General features: G+C 38.2%; 1 protein-coding gene across 1 annotated transcript in view, besides 1 other annotated feature; it reads right to left on the bottom strand.

Moving 5' to 3' along the window:
- Positions 5,374-15,917, bottom strand: part of SLC49A4 (solute carrier family 49 member 4) — an 86,071-nt gene continuing 75,527 nt past the window's right edge. Inside the window, exons 8-9 of the mRNA NM_032839.3 lie at positions 13,916-14,098; positions 5,374-7,250 (exon numbers count right to left, since the gene is read on the bottom strand). Coding sequence (NP_116228.1) covers positions 7,135-7,250; positions 13,916-14,098 — 299 coding nt within the window. The 3' untranslated portion in view covers positions 5,374-7,134. The remainder of the gene's footprint in view (positions 7,251-13,915; positions 14,099-15,917) is intronic.
- Positions 12,125-12,325: a silencer, noted in NCBI's record as "peak4798 fragment used in MPRA reporter construct". NCBI's record gives its function as "represses an SCP1 promoter by STARR-seq MPRAs in K562 erythroleukemia cells {active_cell/tissue: K562}" and the evidence as "EXISTENCE:reporter gene assay evidence [ECO:0000049][PMID:32103011]".

Below are 15,917 nucleotides of genomic sequence, written 5' to 3'. Positions count from 1 at the left end.
ACTCGTATCTCGTTTGATCTGATTCTGGTGAGCAAATGCAGTACCCCGACCTGGCTCCCAGTATGCTATCTCAACATCAGATGACAGATTTTTCTCTTATTGCATTTGATACATTTAATAAACCCTGTGTTTCATATATAAAGTCCTTTGGGAAAATAAACAGCACCTGCAGCTTATCTCCTCCCACAGACACTGAAAAAGCAATTTCTTCTTATTGAATGTGGATGCAGCATAAGATTTCATATGTTCACGTACAGGGCTCACATGAGGGGGGCTACCGCACAAATGGAAACACCAAGGTGCTGGGCACCTCTCCAGCTTTACAGACTGCACATGCTTTGGTCATGTTCATATTTAAATAAGAATCAACTGGTATTTCTGAATTAGAAGAAATCTAAGGGAACATTTTTGCTCACTCCCTCATTTTAGAGATGTTGCTAAAGGAGAAATGAAGTGACTTGCTCAAGGTCAAATAGCTGAAGTCACCAGGCCAGGGTTAAGAGCCAGACCCGTGGGCTCCTACACCAGTGCTCTTTTTCTCTGTCCTCTCTAGTAGGGTCCATGAAGAATCTGCATGCCCGGCTCTCTCCTCTCCACCGCTGGCAACTCGTAAAATCTGGGTGTCACACAGCTCGCTCCCAAGCATTGTCAGAAATAAGAAGACACCATCAGAAAGGGGAAAGCTGGATGGGCAAGAAGACAGGAAAGGAAAAAGTGACCAAATGAAGCTGAGCTTCTGGCCTGCTACAGTTCATCATTTCTACTGACAGCTTGAAAATTAGGAAAGACACAGAAGTTGACCAGGAAACAATAAGAATTATCAGAATCTCCATTAGCTATTTTTTCAAAAAACGAAATTGCACAAGCCAGGCTGGGCAACATGGTGAAACCCCATCTCTACGAAAAATATAAAAAATTAGCTGGCATGGTGGTATACACCTGTAGTCCCAGCTACTTGGGGGGCTGAGGCTGGAGGCTTGCTTGAGCCTGGAAGATTGAGGCTGCAGTGGGCTGAGATCACACCAGGGCACTCAAGCCTGAATGACAAAGTGAGACCCTGTCTAAAAAAAAAAAAAAAAATTGCACAAGATTATTCTTTTGGCTTCTGTTTTCTATAATATTGTGTGCCTCTGCAGAGACAGGGAAGCCAAGAAAGTCCTGTGGAGGAAATCTATATGGATTTCATAGGTCGGTTACTCACTTTCTTTTCTCACAGTACAGGGAGCTTAGTTGATGGTGTTAAGAACAGAAATTGTATTTCCAGTAAGAAAACACAATAGTGCATATTGGAACTCAACTCAATAATGCATATTGGAACTCACTTTTGAACTTTAGAATATGATAAAGCTTGATGGTACATAAGCAGGTCTGTGAAACACCTACATTAACCACAATATGCTACATCTGACAGATTCATCTGGGAGAGAAATAAGGATCTCAGAAACTTCTGCTTCTGCCCATAAAGTTTATACCAATATGGTCCAAGAAAGAGATCCCTAGGTGACTCGATTTTAAATGCCCCCCGAGTTTTTATACATAGATATGTAAATGCATACACAAGTTTCTTCTGAAAGAATGAATGATGATACCCTCTGGAGAGAATGGATTAAACAGCATGTTTGTATGGAGGTAGACTTTACTTTCTATTCCTGTACTATTTTATAATAGTTATACACTCATGTATTTCTCATGTAATTTTCAAAACTCTAAAAGAAATGAAAAAAATTACTTAAAAGAATTACTTATGGCTAACACATTGATCATTTAGGGATTGAATGCTGGTCTAGGAGCCAAGTGATCTGCTAAAACCTGGCTGTGTCATTTAACCTAAAAGGTTCTCTACTGATTTGTAAAATGAGGTGGCTGAATTAGATCATTTCTTTGATTCTATGATCCTTCTGGGTAAATGAGAAAGCCAATTAGAATTAGATGAAGCCTAAATTAAATAGTGCTTTAAAAGAAGTATCATTTTCTAACATTAAGGTAAACTGACAGTTTCTCCAAGTTATCCTTGCCATTTTGTTCAAGGTTGCAGAAGCTGTCTTTATAAATCAGAAGAATTTATAAAGTAGGGAATGCGAAGAGTTCTGTGATGTTTGGGTTGATATTCTGGTATCCCCTTTGGAGTCCCAAGCCTTACAATGTACTATGTCCAGCAAGCACGTTTAGAGTTAAAATAGCTTGATGTGTTTTGATTATTTCATCAAAGCTACTGAAATCAATTCTATGCTTTCATTTTTTAGCTAGGTTAAAAAAAAGTTTAATTCTCCCTTGTTGAATGAACAGAACAGCTGGGGCTGGGTAGCTTTTTGTTCTCTCTTTTTGAGAGTGGGCTAAGATGGAAAGCTACTGTTTGAGGCATATCAGATTCTAGAGCACAACCAAAAGACCACATAAAGCAATTAGCCCATATTCTAAAAATGCAACAAGTAATAACTATAGAAACTTGTTAGAGACCTTTGAAATTCCCATATCAAGGAAATACTCGAACTTCTAAAGCTTAGCTGTGAGAAGACCTGTTAAATCTTTCTGGAGCACCTGGGCTTACTCATGTTCTGAGCTTGCTAGCGTCTCGTTCAGGAGAGGAAACTCTGAGCGTATGGCCTTATTTCCTATTCGGGAATGAGAATGGATTTCTGCTGGGGATCCTGGAGAGGGGTTGAGGGTGAAGAAGCCTGTGTCAGAAAGTCAGTTCAAGAAAGTGGAAGGTCTCAGGGACAGAGCTGAGGTCAGATTCATCCAAGGGTTGAGAAAGGTATCTGACGAGTCAGAGCCTCAGAAAATCATAAAGTGATCTAAATCCTGACCACAAACAAATGTAAATCAGAGAGACTGAGGGCCATGTAACTGCCTGTATCACTCCCATCCCCCTGGCCAGAGATGACACCCTCCAAGGGACCCCTACGGGCCTCTGTATTAGTTCCTGGAATCCTCTCCTAAGTTTGAGGTTCCATCTGAACCAGAAGGACACGTGAGGAAATGAGCTCGAGAGCCAAGATGTCTGCTGAGTGAGCAGGCCACCCCGCCTCTACTGAGCACAAAGTACCCCACAGCCCACTGTAAAGTCCTGTTCCACTTTCTTGAACTGACTTTCTGACACCCAGAAACATTCCCTCTGAGTATTGCTCACATTTCCTAACAGACCAGCACACTGTCTGATAGTAAAGAAATAAACTATCTTGTCCCTTCTGCATGAATATAATTCCAAATCAAAGTGGAATTGCATTTTTCTCCGATATTCATAAAATAGGCTTGATAAAATGTTCTCATAGTTTCCTGCATTTCTTTTTTAATATGACATTTTCTTCATATCACAGCTTTAGTACTTGCCTTAATATGGCAAAATGATAGTAATTTCTGTACTTATTTCAGGGACAAATGTGCAATGTGATTTTTTAAACATTAATTTAAAGCAAATTTGCTATGCATTTTTATTCAATCTTGAGCCTAAAGTGAAGCTTGTACTTATGCAAACAGTAAGATGAATGCCTGGATTTTAGTAAAATAGTAAAAAACAAACAAACAAACAAACAAACAAAAAACTAATTAAAAGTTAAGTAGATGGGGATTTAACCTCTTCAATTTAAAATCCCTTAGCTTAGATCTCTCATTAGAAGGGCTTCATAAAAACAAGCTGTAAACATTCTCCATAATTAAACATGAGTACATGATCTACGAAAAAACTTGGCCCTCAGGCCATATATATTTAAATATACAAAATTACATTTGTATTTGATTCTCTCGTAATTAGCTCCATCCTCCAGTGAAATGCATTTGTGTATACAACTGTCTTGTTCCTATACCTCCACCAGGGATCATATTAAAAAATGCTTCTTCCCATAAACTGTGAAGTATTAATTGATAAGCCACAGGGAACCTGCACTACAGCATGTCCTTACCAATTAATATTGGTGTTGACTTGGTTTATGGGATTGAATTATTCATCAGAATCTTTTTACATGATGTCATTACAACCCAAGGGCTAAGAGCTGACAGAGCATCTTCAGGATAGTGATGGAGAAAAAAGAATTTTACTTATAAACCAAATAATCACCTTAACTTAATCCTTGTACTTCCCATACTCAATAATGGAAGCTTACTGTTAAAGCCCTATCATTTTTTAACATGAAGGTATTCATGCACACCCAAAATGGTCTAAATTAAGCTTCTGTGAGGTAGGAAAAAAACACCTGGTTTAGGAGTCAGAAACTGTGAGCCTCAGTTGTACTTTACCTCTCTAGAATCATTTCTATAAATTCTAAAATGAGGGTTTGGATTAGTGAAGGGTTAAGATTTCTTTCAGCTGTAACATTTCATTAGGATTCTATAATGGTTAGAAAGTGCAAAGAAAGCAGCTGGTCTATTTTGATGCATGATAGAAATAAAAACAAAAAGAAAATATGATTTGCAATATTCAAGTAAATGATGTGTAATCTTCTCCCCACCCCCAAGCCTTTTGGTTCCCTTCCTGTCAGGTTTGGTATATGAAATTTTTGATCACTTAAAACAGTTGCAGTTTATAATTAGAACAATTACCTGCTGGAGGGGTAAGCACATACAAACAAAGTACAGGGACTCGTCTCACCTCATGTATTCTAAAAACAAGAATTCTGAACAATGCAAGAATTTTTAATCACTACCACTTGGGATGTTTTGAACTAATTAGTCATTTAGGTAATACTTTTAGAGTGTTATTCTACTTTGTGTTAAAAGAAGAATTAAGCCTGGTGTGGTGGTGCATGCCTGTAGTCCCAGCTACTCGGAAGGCTGAGGTAGGAGGATCACTTGAGCCCAGGAGTTTGAGTCCAGCCTGGGCAACATACTGAGATCCTGTCCCTTAAAAAAAAAAAGTGCAATTAACCATAATTAAAATGTTCTACACAAGAAATCTTACTATTGCAGAATGTTATACCACAACATCCTCAAACATAATAGTTCGGACTAAAACCAAATACCTTATAATTCTTCCCTCTCCTTTCTCTCTTCCCTCTGAACAGGAAGGGGTGGTGCTTATTTAGCATCCGGGTCATGGTCTACGGATATCCTTAATGGCTGGCTTTGAATCATCTTCAAGGAATCCGCCTTCTTGGCCTGGTGTGGTGGCTCACGCCTATAATCCCAGCACTTTGGGAGGCTGAGGCGGGTGGATCACTTAGGAGTTTGAGACCAGCCTGGGCAACATGGAGAAACACTGTCTCTACTAAAAACAGAAAAATTAGCTAGGCATGGTTGTGCGTGCCTGTAGTCCCAGCTACTCGGGAGGCTGAGGCGGGAGGATCACCTGCATCTGGGACATGGAGGTTGCAGTGAGTTGAGATTGCACCATCACAGAGCAAGATCCTGTCTAAAAAAAAAAAAAAAGAGAATTCTGCCTTCCTTTTATTTCATTTTTATTTCAGAAGAATAACAGAATTAACTGGAACTAAGTCTAGCTTTTGTTTTCTTCTTCTCTTTAGCAAGTTCCTTAGTTCCTTCAGTCCTTCTGCTAAGTGAGCAGAGTGTTTATAAAGAGAGACGATTTAAAGATGACTGAAGACAGATGTTAAATTTGAACGGTTTCTTACTTCCCTAGTTTCACAAGTTAGGGTCTTAGAAGTTGCCAAGCAGTACTAGGATACTCCTCTAGGACCGAGGTGAGTTAATGCACAGCCTTGTACTTGCTAAGGGGGAGGGGAGACAGACTTGGGAATCTGCATGTGGGTGTGTCATGGCGCACACAGGTGCAGAGAGGAGCAGGGCCCAGTGCTGCCCAGCTTTCCTGAACCTTCACCACCTTGGCTGATAAGAGCCACTTGCACTCTGTCCAGGAAAACACAAAAGTATATATACTTAGCTGACAATGAAGGTTCAATTTCAAGTGAGGAAAAACAAGAAGGGCTGGAGGAAGCTGAGAATAATAAAGGTATAGCAGTATTCTTGACTTTTTGGGAAAAGGGTTGGTTTTTCTGTGTGAGGGGAATGATGTAAATATGAATAGTGGTGATACCATATTCTCACTGCAGTGTATTTTACGTCACAGTGAAATCTGTGTCTGACAGCCACTCAATGTGGAACTCTTATTTCTTAAAAAGCTATCTTCTGTAGAAAGAAGATAGGTACTGGCAAAACGCTGCCCTCTCAAATATGCTGACTCCACAGAGAACGGAGTATTTTACAACCTAAGCTGAAACACAGGATGTAATTCAGAAATCATTCGACAGAGCTGAAAGTTTCAATGTGATAAATTATTATTTTTAAACAAGGGTCACTGAATAAAATCTAACCCTGGTAAATAATTGTTGGCTCTGGACATTACATCTCATGCCACCATATACAGGCAGAAGACACAGTATGTCCATGTGACTTGTCATTTCACTTGTAACAAAGTGCTAGATCCTAATGGAATTACATTTTTTCATACAATATTTAATGTAATCATATTAAACATTTAGACACCCTCACATAATTATTTAAGGGCCTAGTAGATGAAATTGTATTTCACAGAAACAAGGATAAGTTGAGATGGAGACACAGTGCCTATGCTCAGAAGTCACTGGAAAGCACCTGATCACCATAGTAAAGATGGCCAAGGGCTTCTGACCTGATTAAAATAAGGAGTCATATAAGAAATGGCTTTATTAGAAAAAATGTAGTGTACATGTGGCTAATTTCCATCATCGATATACCTCTTGGCTATTTTATCATTAAAATTGGATACAGGGTTTGAACTTCTTTAGAAGTTAGTGGCATATCTTCCTATTCTGATATGTGACTTAGGGAAGGCGTTATCTTCATATGATAGACACCCTTTATTTCTTTTCATAATTACAAGTAATCAGTAGTTTAGCACTGGCACAAAACAGAGAGAGAATTACTTAGGTAGTGCTTTATGTGTAAGAAGTCACACTTCCAACCCCAGAAGCAGGCACAGGTATGCCATCTGTAGAGTTTTAAAATCCCCTATTATCACTCAAGTCTCCCATTATTATTACCTAGTAGTAATTAAATTAATGTGATAATCTGTAACCTAACAAAACCTCTGAATGAAGTTTCTTTCTTCTCCCTCTTTTCCTGTTAGATGTGCAATTCTGAGCAAATGTGCAGTGTGCAGTATTGATTTCCAGCCTCCTTTTAAACTCCTTCAAGTCTGTGCTATTAAACGGAGACAACCACATCAAGATAGAGTCTGTCATAGGATTCCCTGAAGCACAGAATGAGGAGGAGACTGAGCAAACACGACCCGGGAAGGCACCAGTTGAACCAAGACAACTCTGTAAGACAAAAAAACATGCAGTTTTAAACATTCATGTATCACCAGCAGACCACCACCTGTATGCCGGAAGGAATCTGCTCTGCATTAAAAAGTACTTATAATAAATGTACCCTGGAAGGCCTAGAAACTGGCTTTCAATAAATAGTGACAATCTGGAGACTAAGTGATGTGTGTAATATATGACGGGGCTTCCATGTGGAATATTTTTAATCAATATTGTTCATAACTTTTCATCAATTTAATCCACCTTGACTTTGGTTACAAAATAAATTACTTCAAAGAAAAAAAATCAATCACCTTTAAATGTTAGTTTGATAATTATTTTTTAAGTACCCTCTATCATCATCACTCTTGTCCCTGTTTATAAATATCTGATGGATTAAAAAGACAAATACGAAAATCATCTGAATTTTGAAATAACACTTTTATATGTTTTGGATAGAAATATCTATTTCTCAGCAAAAACATTAAGTAGAAATCACTGTAAAATAGATGAGAAAATATATTTAAAAATAAAACATACAAAAAAATCAATCATAATTCTGTCCCCAGAGAGATCACTGTGAATATTTTGGCTTATTTCTTTCTAGTCTTTTTCTCTACCAGCATGAATGGTTATATATGATGCCAATTATTGGAAAACCTATAGGCATCATCTGAATGGGCAATTCTGTTGTTGTTTGATTTAATGTGTCAAGAACATGGTTCTTTAGAAATGCTCTCTCATGAATTCAGGATTCTCCAACAAGACAATCCTCAGCCATTTGCTACCAACACACACTGACCACTGTGGCTGCCTCTAGCTGCTTCCTGGAGCTCCAGGGACCCTAGGGCTGTGCATCTGTTCAGCCTTCCTCTACCCCAATCCCATCTGCCAGTCAATCCCAAGGCTCTGAAGTGAATAGCTCCTCGGCATAAAGAGGTTGGTGAAGGTGGTGGGGACAACGTTTCTAGTTTAATATCCATTCAGCAGTTTCAATTCAAAAAATAAACAAGGAAAATAAGCTCCTTGGTGCCTTTTTTCTTTTTTGGTCACTGTTATGGGTTTATATTTTCCCTTTGTACTTCTACAAAATGCTAATACTGCCTTAATCTTCAAAAGTCATCCTAAAGATTTCCACACTGCTGCTTTAGTTTAATCCATAATTCTTATGGCTAAAGGAGCAATTTATGCTCAGGAATGGAAATCAGAAAACTGACTGGCAAGAAAAGGTGCTGCAATACCTTTTTTTCTGTAATATGCTCACAAATACAGACTCCCCACCTCTCTATTACTATGTTTTAAAAGTCAGACATGCTATTCTATAGTATGTAACAAAGACATATATTTCAATGGTATTTTTATGCAAAGCTGTTTTCTCTGCTTTACTTGGATTGGACATAGTCTAAATACTCAGAGAAGATGTGATCTATGAGATCCTGTCTTCATTCTGATGTTCCCTGAAATGACACACTGGGCATTTTCTGCTTTTGACTATATAACCCCTGGATTTCTGATAATTTTACTAGGCAAAAAGAAGCAGTAAAAAATTAAAAAGTAGTAAAATATAGACAATAGCATTTTGTTTGTATTAAAAGGGAGAGCTTGGACTTCAGGGTCAAGTTTTAAGCAACAGATAAAAAAAAGTATGGTAATTGACAAAACAGTTTACAACGATAGTTGCTATATCTTAGAGACTGTATTTTATGGGGAACTAGAGCAACACACATAGCAACAATCCGCCTGTCCTTGCTTTTCTTAAACTGAGAAACATTTCAAATATTGTCAAAACAGATCTTTTATTTCAGCGTTACTATTAGAATTGTAAAATCATTTCTTCTACATAGGTTCAGATGAAATCTCTAAAAACGTCTCATAATTGCTCTTTAGCGCCATGGTTTGTTGACTGGTTTTTACTGTGTGCCTCTCTCTCAAAAGTCAAATCCACCTCTCAGTAAATTCACTTGTCTCAATCAACTACAAGTGTTCTTCGAAATTATTTGCCTTTTTAGAAAGCAAAAAGTCAGAGATAGGGGAACCTCTACATTTTCCTGCTGAAAACCATTCACATAAACCACTGTTTAGGTGCTCTAATAAGCAAGGAAATGACTTGCTTAAAAATCTAATTTGACTTGGCAGTAGCAAAGTCAGCTGCTGTCCTTTCTGATCCCCTTTCTGACCCTGATGTAGATGAACTAACAGAATCGCGAGCCACTGAAATTTTTGTATTATAATTCTTTTCATCTTTTAAAATGAGCATGGTTTTCTAATACTCCTTCCCTTTGCCTTTCACTAGATAAAATATAAATCCACACTTGAAGGCAGGGGCCTACAGTCTGCCCCATACTTCCGCTGTGTCTCTACTGTCTACTACACAGCAGTCGGAGTGCTCATTCTGCCAACTTATAGTTTAGACAGGTGCTCGACTTTACTCAGTGAAGTGGGCTCTGCACCAAATGGTGAGGCTCTGTTGGGACTGAATTAATTGGGATTTTGCTCATCCTCTTACTTTTTCTTCTGGAAGCACTGTTGTACTTTTCACCTCATCTTTCCCTACAGTGGAGTCACGCTTTCGGTTTCTACCACTTATAAGTACTTGTCTGTTTCCAGCTACCACTCTCCAGAACAAACTTCCTATTTTCTTTTATGATGATTTAACAAGATTGTCTCCTTTCTCACTCAAGGTGAGCAGCCAGCTGACCCCATGATTTCCCAGGATAATGCCCTGCTATCTTCATTCCACATCAATTACCCAGTAGATCTTACCATCACATTCCATTATTCTGCTTCTTAGATATAAAATTACTTCTCACTAGTCCACATCTGTTGAACCTGCTCTTTGTTTTCCTGGTAACCATTAGTCAATGCCTCCCACCTCTGCCAGGCCCCTGAATCTTTTGAGTGACAACACAGCCTCACATTCATGGTCAGCCACTTTAAAATGAAAGAGCTGAGATAAAAATCATGATGCTTTTAGCAAAACCCGCTGCAAAGCTTCTAGAACAAAAAGTAACAGATAACACAAACTTCAGAATATTAAACAGAATACATTGCAGAGCACATAAAGGATACAACAGCATTCTCAAATTGATTTTTCTATGTGACATCATTAGAATAAAGCATCACTGTGCTATGTCAACTCAATGGGATTCTCAAAACAAACACAGGAAGCAACTCAGTTTTACAAATATGTTTATATTAGGGAGCAAGTAACAACTTTTTTTTTGAAAGTGACCTTGAAAAATCCAAGTCAGTAAAACTCTAAAAAACTTCTGACAAGGTTCCAGGTACCCAAAGCAGAACTGAAATAGGAGGTGGAGACCCTGTGACCCAGGGCTCCAAATAAGCCAGTGGCATTGGTATAGGAGCCTGAACCACATTTGCCCTCAATGACTGCAATGGCTCTAATCTGCAAGCAAATTGCCAGCAGAACCTAGCTTGCTAGGCAAGATATTCCATTATGGTCATTTTGGGGTTAGTCTGTATAGCCCTGAAAAATTATCTGATGTATTCATTTATCAGATAGCACACTGTAGGGGGAAAAACCCTAGTCAGGAAGTTTAGTACTTCCTTGAGAAGTGACTTAAAAAACCACAGATCTTTATGATGATTAAAAATCAGGCCTTCTAGGCTGGGTGTGGTGGCTCACACCTGTAATCTCAGCACTTTGGGAGGCCAAGGCAGGTGGATTGCTTGAGCCCAGGAGTTCAACACCAGCATGGGCAACATGGCAGAACCCCATCTCTACAAAAAATACAAAAAATTAGCCAGGTTTGGTGGCACATGCTTGTGGTCCCAGCTACTTGGGAGGCTGAGGTGGGAGGATCACTTGAGGCTGGGAGGCCAACGTTGCAGTGAGCCATAATGGTGCCACTGTACTCCAGACTGGGTGACAGAGCAAGACCCTGTCTCCCCCACCCCTAAAAAATTCAGGCCTTCTAATCACATAACTAATAGTTGAATTTTGACATATAATTAACTTCTGGGTGAGTTTTCAAGTTTCAAAATAACTGAATAATGACATATGAACACTGGCTTTAATGGAAGGGGGTTCAGTTTATCATATAAAATGTTTAGGGTACTAGGCTGTGGAACTAACAGTTATTGTTAGGAAACAGTTTTACAGAATTTTTAGATTTGCAATTTGTGTATAATCATACCTGAGACCATAAAGAATGTGGACCTCTGCTGCAGGACTTTTAGGGGAAGATCAATTAATCCTACTAAAAAGAGTTTCAACATAGATTTCATGGTTCTAGTAACTTTAGCCCTAGAGAGATGTGGACGATGTTTCTGTGTATTCATTATGCACACTCATAAATACACATATAAAAGCATTTCTTTACAATGGAAGACTAGATATTTAACTTCCTAGCATCAGTCAGCTAATTATCTAGAAGAAACAAAACAAACACTGGTGGGTGCCAGCTGTGCCCTGGACTTGGCTCTTTTACAGGTATCTTCTCATTAACTGCCTAAAATGCCAAAATTTAATGAGACCTTTTTCCTGGAAACCACCTTGGTGGATTAAAATTAATGATTATTTATAGTTTCATAGGGTACTATGCTCACTACCTGGGTGATGGGATCATTCATGTCCCAAACCTCATTGTCATGCAATATACCCATGTAACAATCCTGCACATGTACTCCTTGAATCTAAAAGAAACATTGAAATTATTTAAAAAATAAGTTTCACTTTTGTTCACAATAGTCACAAAGTTTAGGTGGAAACTTTTTAACATCTACACAAACATGTATAAGAACATGTGGTCAGAAACTGACCAAAAAGAGGGAAGTTTTGTTTCTCCCAGCTAGAAAAATCCTTGATTATATCAGAAATGGGCAGAAATAGTGCTAAGTGTTCCTTCTGCTCCCTCTGCCAAAGAAATAAAATATCTGCTTGTATCTGGTCACTATGAATTTGCAAAATGAGGAATGAGCACTGACTGACGTCGGTTCCATTTAATTCACTCCAGACACCAGATGCTGTTAAACAAGTCAAAACCGCAGCAGGACCCAGGAGAGTGACAGAGATAAACTACTGGCCAGGCAAAATGGTCAGGTGTGTACGGAGCTCTGCTGCAGTAAGACAGTTTAGGGCAGTTTCCATTATTGGTGTCTTCTCTGCCTTAAACTGATCAACAAAAATGTGTTTGTTATATCCTAGAGACCATAAGCAAAAGATTTATTGGGGGATAACATTATCTGGCACCTGCTGTTGTTCTTTTTAAATACTGGGAGGACAAAACTCTATTTCTAGCTGACAGGAAAAACCATGCTCTGCTGGGCGGCACCAACCACTAAGCAAAGCTGTGCCCATCGGCTGGAAAACTGCTTCTACCATCCCAGGGGGGATCACAGCCATCTCCGATGCTTTACCAGGCAGACAGGCAATAAGCCACTTAATTTAAATTGTGATACAACTGAAGTGGATTAAAGCTGATATGTAATGATTGTCAGACTTCGTTGTTGAGAAAACTAATTGGAAGCAAAGAACCTGATTTCTGGTGATGGCACTTTTCCCTAATGGAAGCACGTGTTTCCAGGACAACAAAGAGTGGCCTTCTGACTTCATTAATATCACTCTCCTTCATATGATAAACCAAACTTGTATCAGGTTTAGCAAAGACCTACTTTACCTGCATTACTGATTGACAGAAACAATCTAATGTACTGTTCATTATATTAAGAAATTCATCTATCCTATGGACACTTTTTGCTGTTGGGTGAAAGTGCTATGCCAGAAGTTGTCCAAAACCCAGGGATAATTATGTTTCACACTGGCTTTGAAAGTTTCTGGCCAGGCACAGCGGCTCATGCCTGTAATCCCAGCACTTTAGGAGGCTGAGGTGGGTGGATTACTTGAGGTCAGGAGCTCCAGACCAGCCTGGCCAACACAGTGAAACCCCGTCTCTACTAAAAACACAAAAATGAGTCAGGCATGGTGGCACCTGCCTGTAGTCCCAGCTACTCAGGAGGCTGAGGCGGGAGAATCGCTTTAGCCCGGGAGGCAGAGGTTGCAGTGAGTTGAGATCGTGCCACTGCACTCCAGCCTGGGCAACCGAGTTAGATTCTGTCTCAAAAAAAAAAAAAAGTTTCAAAATTTGCTTTCCAGTCAAGGAGGTTAGCACGGTTATTATTTCAGTTATAACCCTGTCAGAAACACTCCTATAAACAATTCGGCCTCTTGGAGTGTCACATTTTAGAGCATTCCTTACATTGGGTGACATCCTGTCATTCATCCCTCAGGCTTTAAACTCCATATACACCCCTAACATTAATTTACACCCTGTGTTAAGAGAGATTCGAAGTAGTTTTTAAAAAGCAATAGACCAGAGGTTCTCAATGAGAATCTACATATTTGAATCACCTGGTAGGGTAAGGCGTGGGGGTGGGGAGGATTTTAAAAATACAAATACTGGGCTCCAGCCCAGGTTAATTAATTCAGAAATTCGGGGGTGGGGGAGTACAGGGGCGGGGCAGAGAAGAGTGAGGGTGCACTTGAGCTAGAATGCATTTTAAGAAAAACAACTGAGGAATTTTTCTTTTACTGGCAATGGAAGTTCACATAAAGTAATTTGCCTTGGTGAGACTTCTCCATATAAAAACTTCTATACACTAGTGACCCAAACTTTTCTTGTAACACATTTAGATAGTAAATAAAAAATCAAATTTCTTACCTGTATGATAAAATGTGAGAAAAAATAAAAGTACTCCCATAAACATATTACTTAAAAAAGTGACAACTCCACAAGTAATTCCTTCTGGAACTGGGTAGACAGTTTCCACAAAAAGCTCAAAAAATATAGGCACGCTGCTATTCAAGAACACTCCCAGGAGAATACAGGAGGCATACAATGTCACTAAAATAAAAACACAAACATTTTAGTTTCACACTAGCGGCAGTGAGTCATATCAGATAGATCTTCGGGGTGTTCTCTTTCCTAAGTATTGACTCAAAAATTTCTTCTTTTCAAAGGTAGTTGATAAAGTTTGACAAAGCATCACACATCTGCCAGCTCTTTGCTGCAGTTTTCTGGAGTAGATACAAAACCATTTTATTGCTGGATGGGTACCAGTTTATCTCCTTTACCTTTCTGGTGGATTATTCCAGAGCACAAAACAATTTACCACTATCATATAATTAAAAGGATTCTTCTCCTGCTTGGTCACATTCCTGTAGACTTGTTCCATAATTTTAGAAAGAGAGCGTAAAATCTAAGAATAAATGTCAGAAACATTAAATGTTACTGAAAATTACATATTTAAAGAGATTGGTTAATAATTGCTTTCAAGCACAAAATAAACATTATGCAGTATGTAATTTCTTGAGAAACACAATGGAATTAGTCCTCAATTTTGGAATGGGTTTTAGGTCAACATTTTTTTTAAATAAGTAACTTTTTTGAAACACAGAAAAAGACTTCATCCAGAAATGTACAATTAATAGTGACTAGGATCCCCAATCAAACCATAAAAAGTCTGTTAACACTATTCTGTGGCAAAGTCTATTGAATAAGGATATTATTCTTATAAGAAAGTCTGGGGAAATATACTACAATTAATTTTAATCATTGCTACTACTGTCTGTCTATAAACCCTTGTTAATTTTAACTTGAAGGTGAAAACAGAACCCAAAAGGAAAGAATGATACCCTATTTAGAAACCTAAAACATGTCCCTATATCCTAATAAGTATATCATATTCACCGATAATAATGAGTAGAATTTATCCTAAGTTTAAGGTTACAAGGAAAATATTTTTAATAAAAATATTTGTTAAGGAAAAAAACAATCCTGTATGGGAACTGCAGAAAGTAAGGAAGTTACATTAAATCTGTTATGTATTATTCACACACTCACAGAACATATCAGATTATCAGAGTTTACCATAACTGATGCAATCATTAACAGTCCATGACACTGTTGAAGGGGTAAAAAAAAAATAATAGTACACACTGATTTCTAATATAATTTCTCTAATTAACCTCCACTCTTGCTTCCCCTCCAATTACATTAGTCTTCGGGGATTATAAAATATTTAGTATATTCTGATAATACAAATAGTTGGTAATTACTTTGTTTCTTTGAATAGAAGATAGATATGGAAATAGATAACAAAAGAATCACTTAGTGAATAAAGAACATACTGCTGGCTAAGGCAGTGACCAAATTATTTGCACAATTACTTGGGAAGCATCTGATAGCTATGATAAATACCATTTAAAATGTGACATAATTTTCAAGAGATTCTTAAAACGTAACCTAATACTTCATGTTCACAATATATTTGCTAGATGTAGATCAAATAAATCAATCACATTTTCTACTTACATATGACTCATTAGTGGTACATTAGGAAATCTGGGGATGGAATATCACTGGTGGCTTCTATAGAGTATTGTATTTCTAAAACACTTTAGAATTATTAATTAATTATTATTATTATTATTATTATTATTGTTGAGATGGAGTCTTGCTCTGTTGCCCAGGCTAAAGTGCAGTGGTGTGATCTCGGCTCACTGCCAACTTCCACCTCCCCGGTTCAAGTGATTCTCCTGCCTCAGCCTCCTGAGCATGTGGGATTACAGGTTCGTGCCACCATGCCAAGCTAAATTTTTTTTGTATTTTTAGTAGAGACAGGGTTTCACCATGTTGGCCAGGCTGGTCTCGAACTCCTGAC

The sequence above is a fragment of the Homo sapiens genome, chromosome 3, assembly GCF_000001405.40.
Source record: "Homo sapiens chromosome 3, GRCh38.p14 Primary Assembly".
NCBI lineage: Eukaryota > Metazoa > Chordata > Mammalia > Primates > Hominidae > Homo > Homo sapiens.
This window is presented reverse-complemented; position numbering and strand designations above follow the sequence as displayed.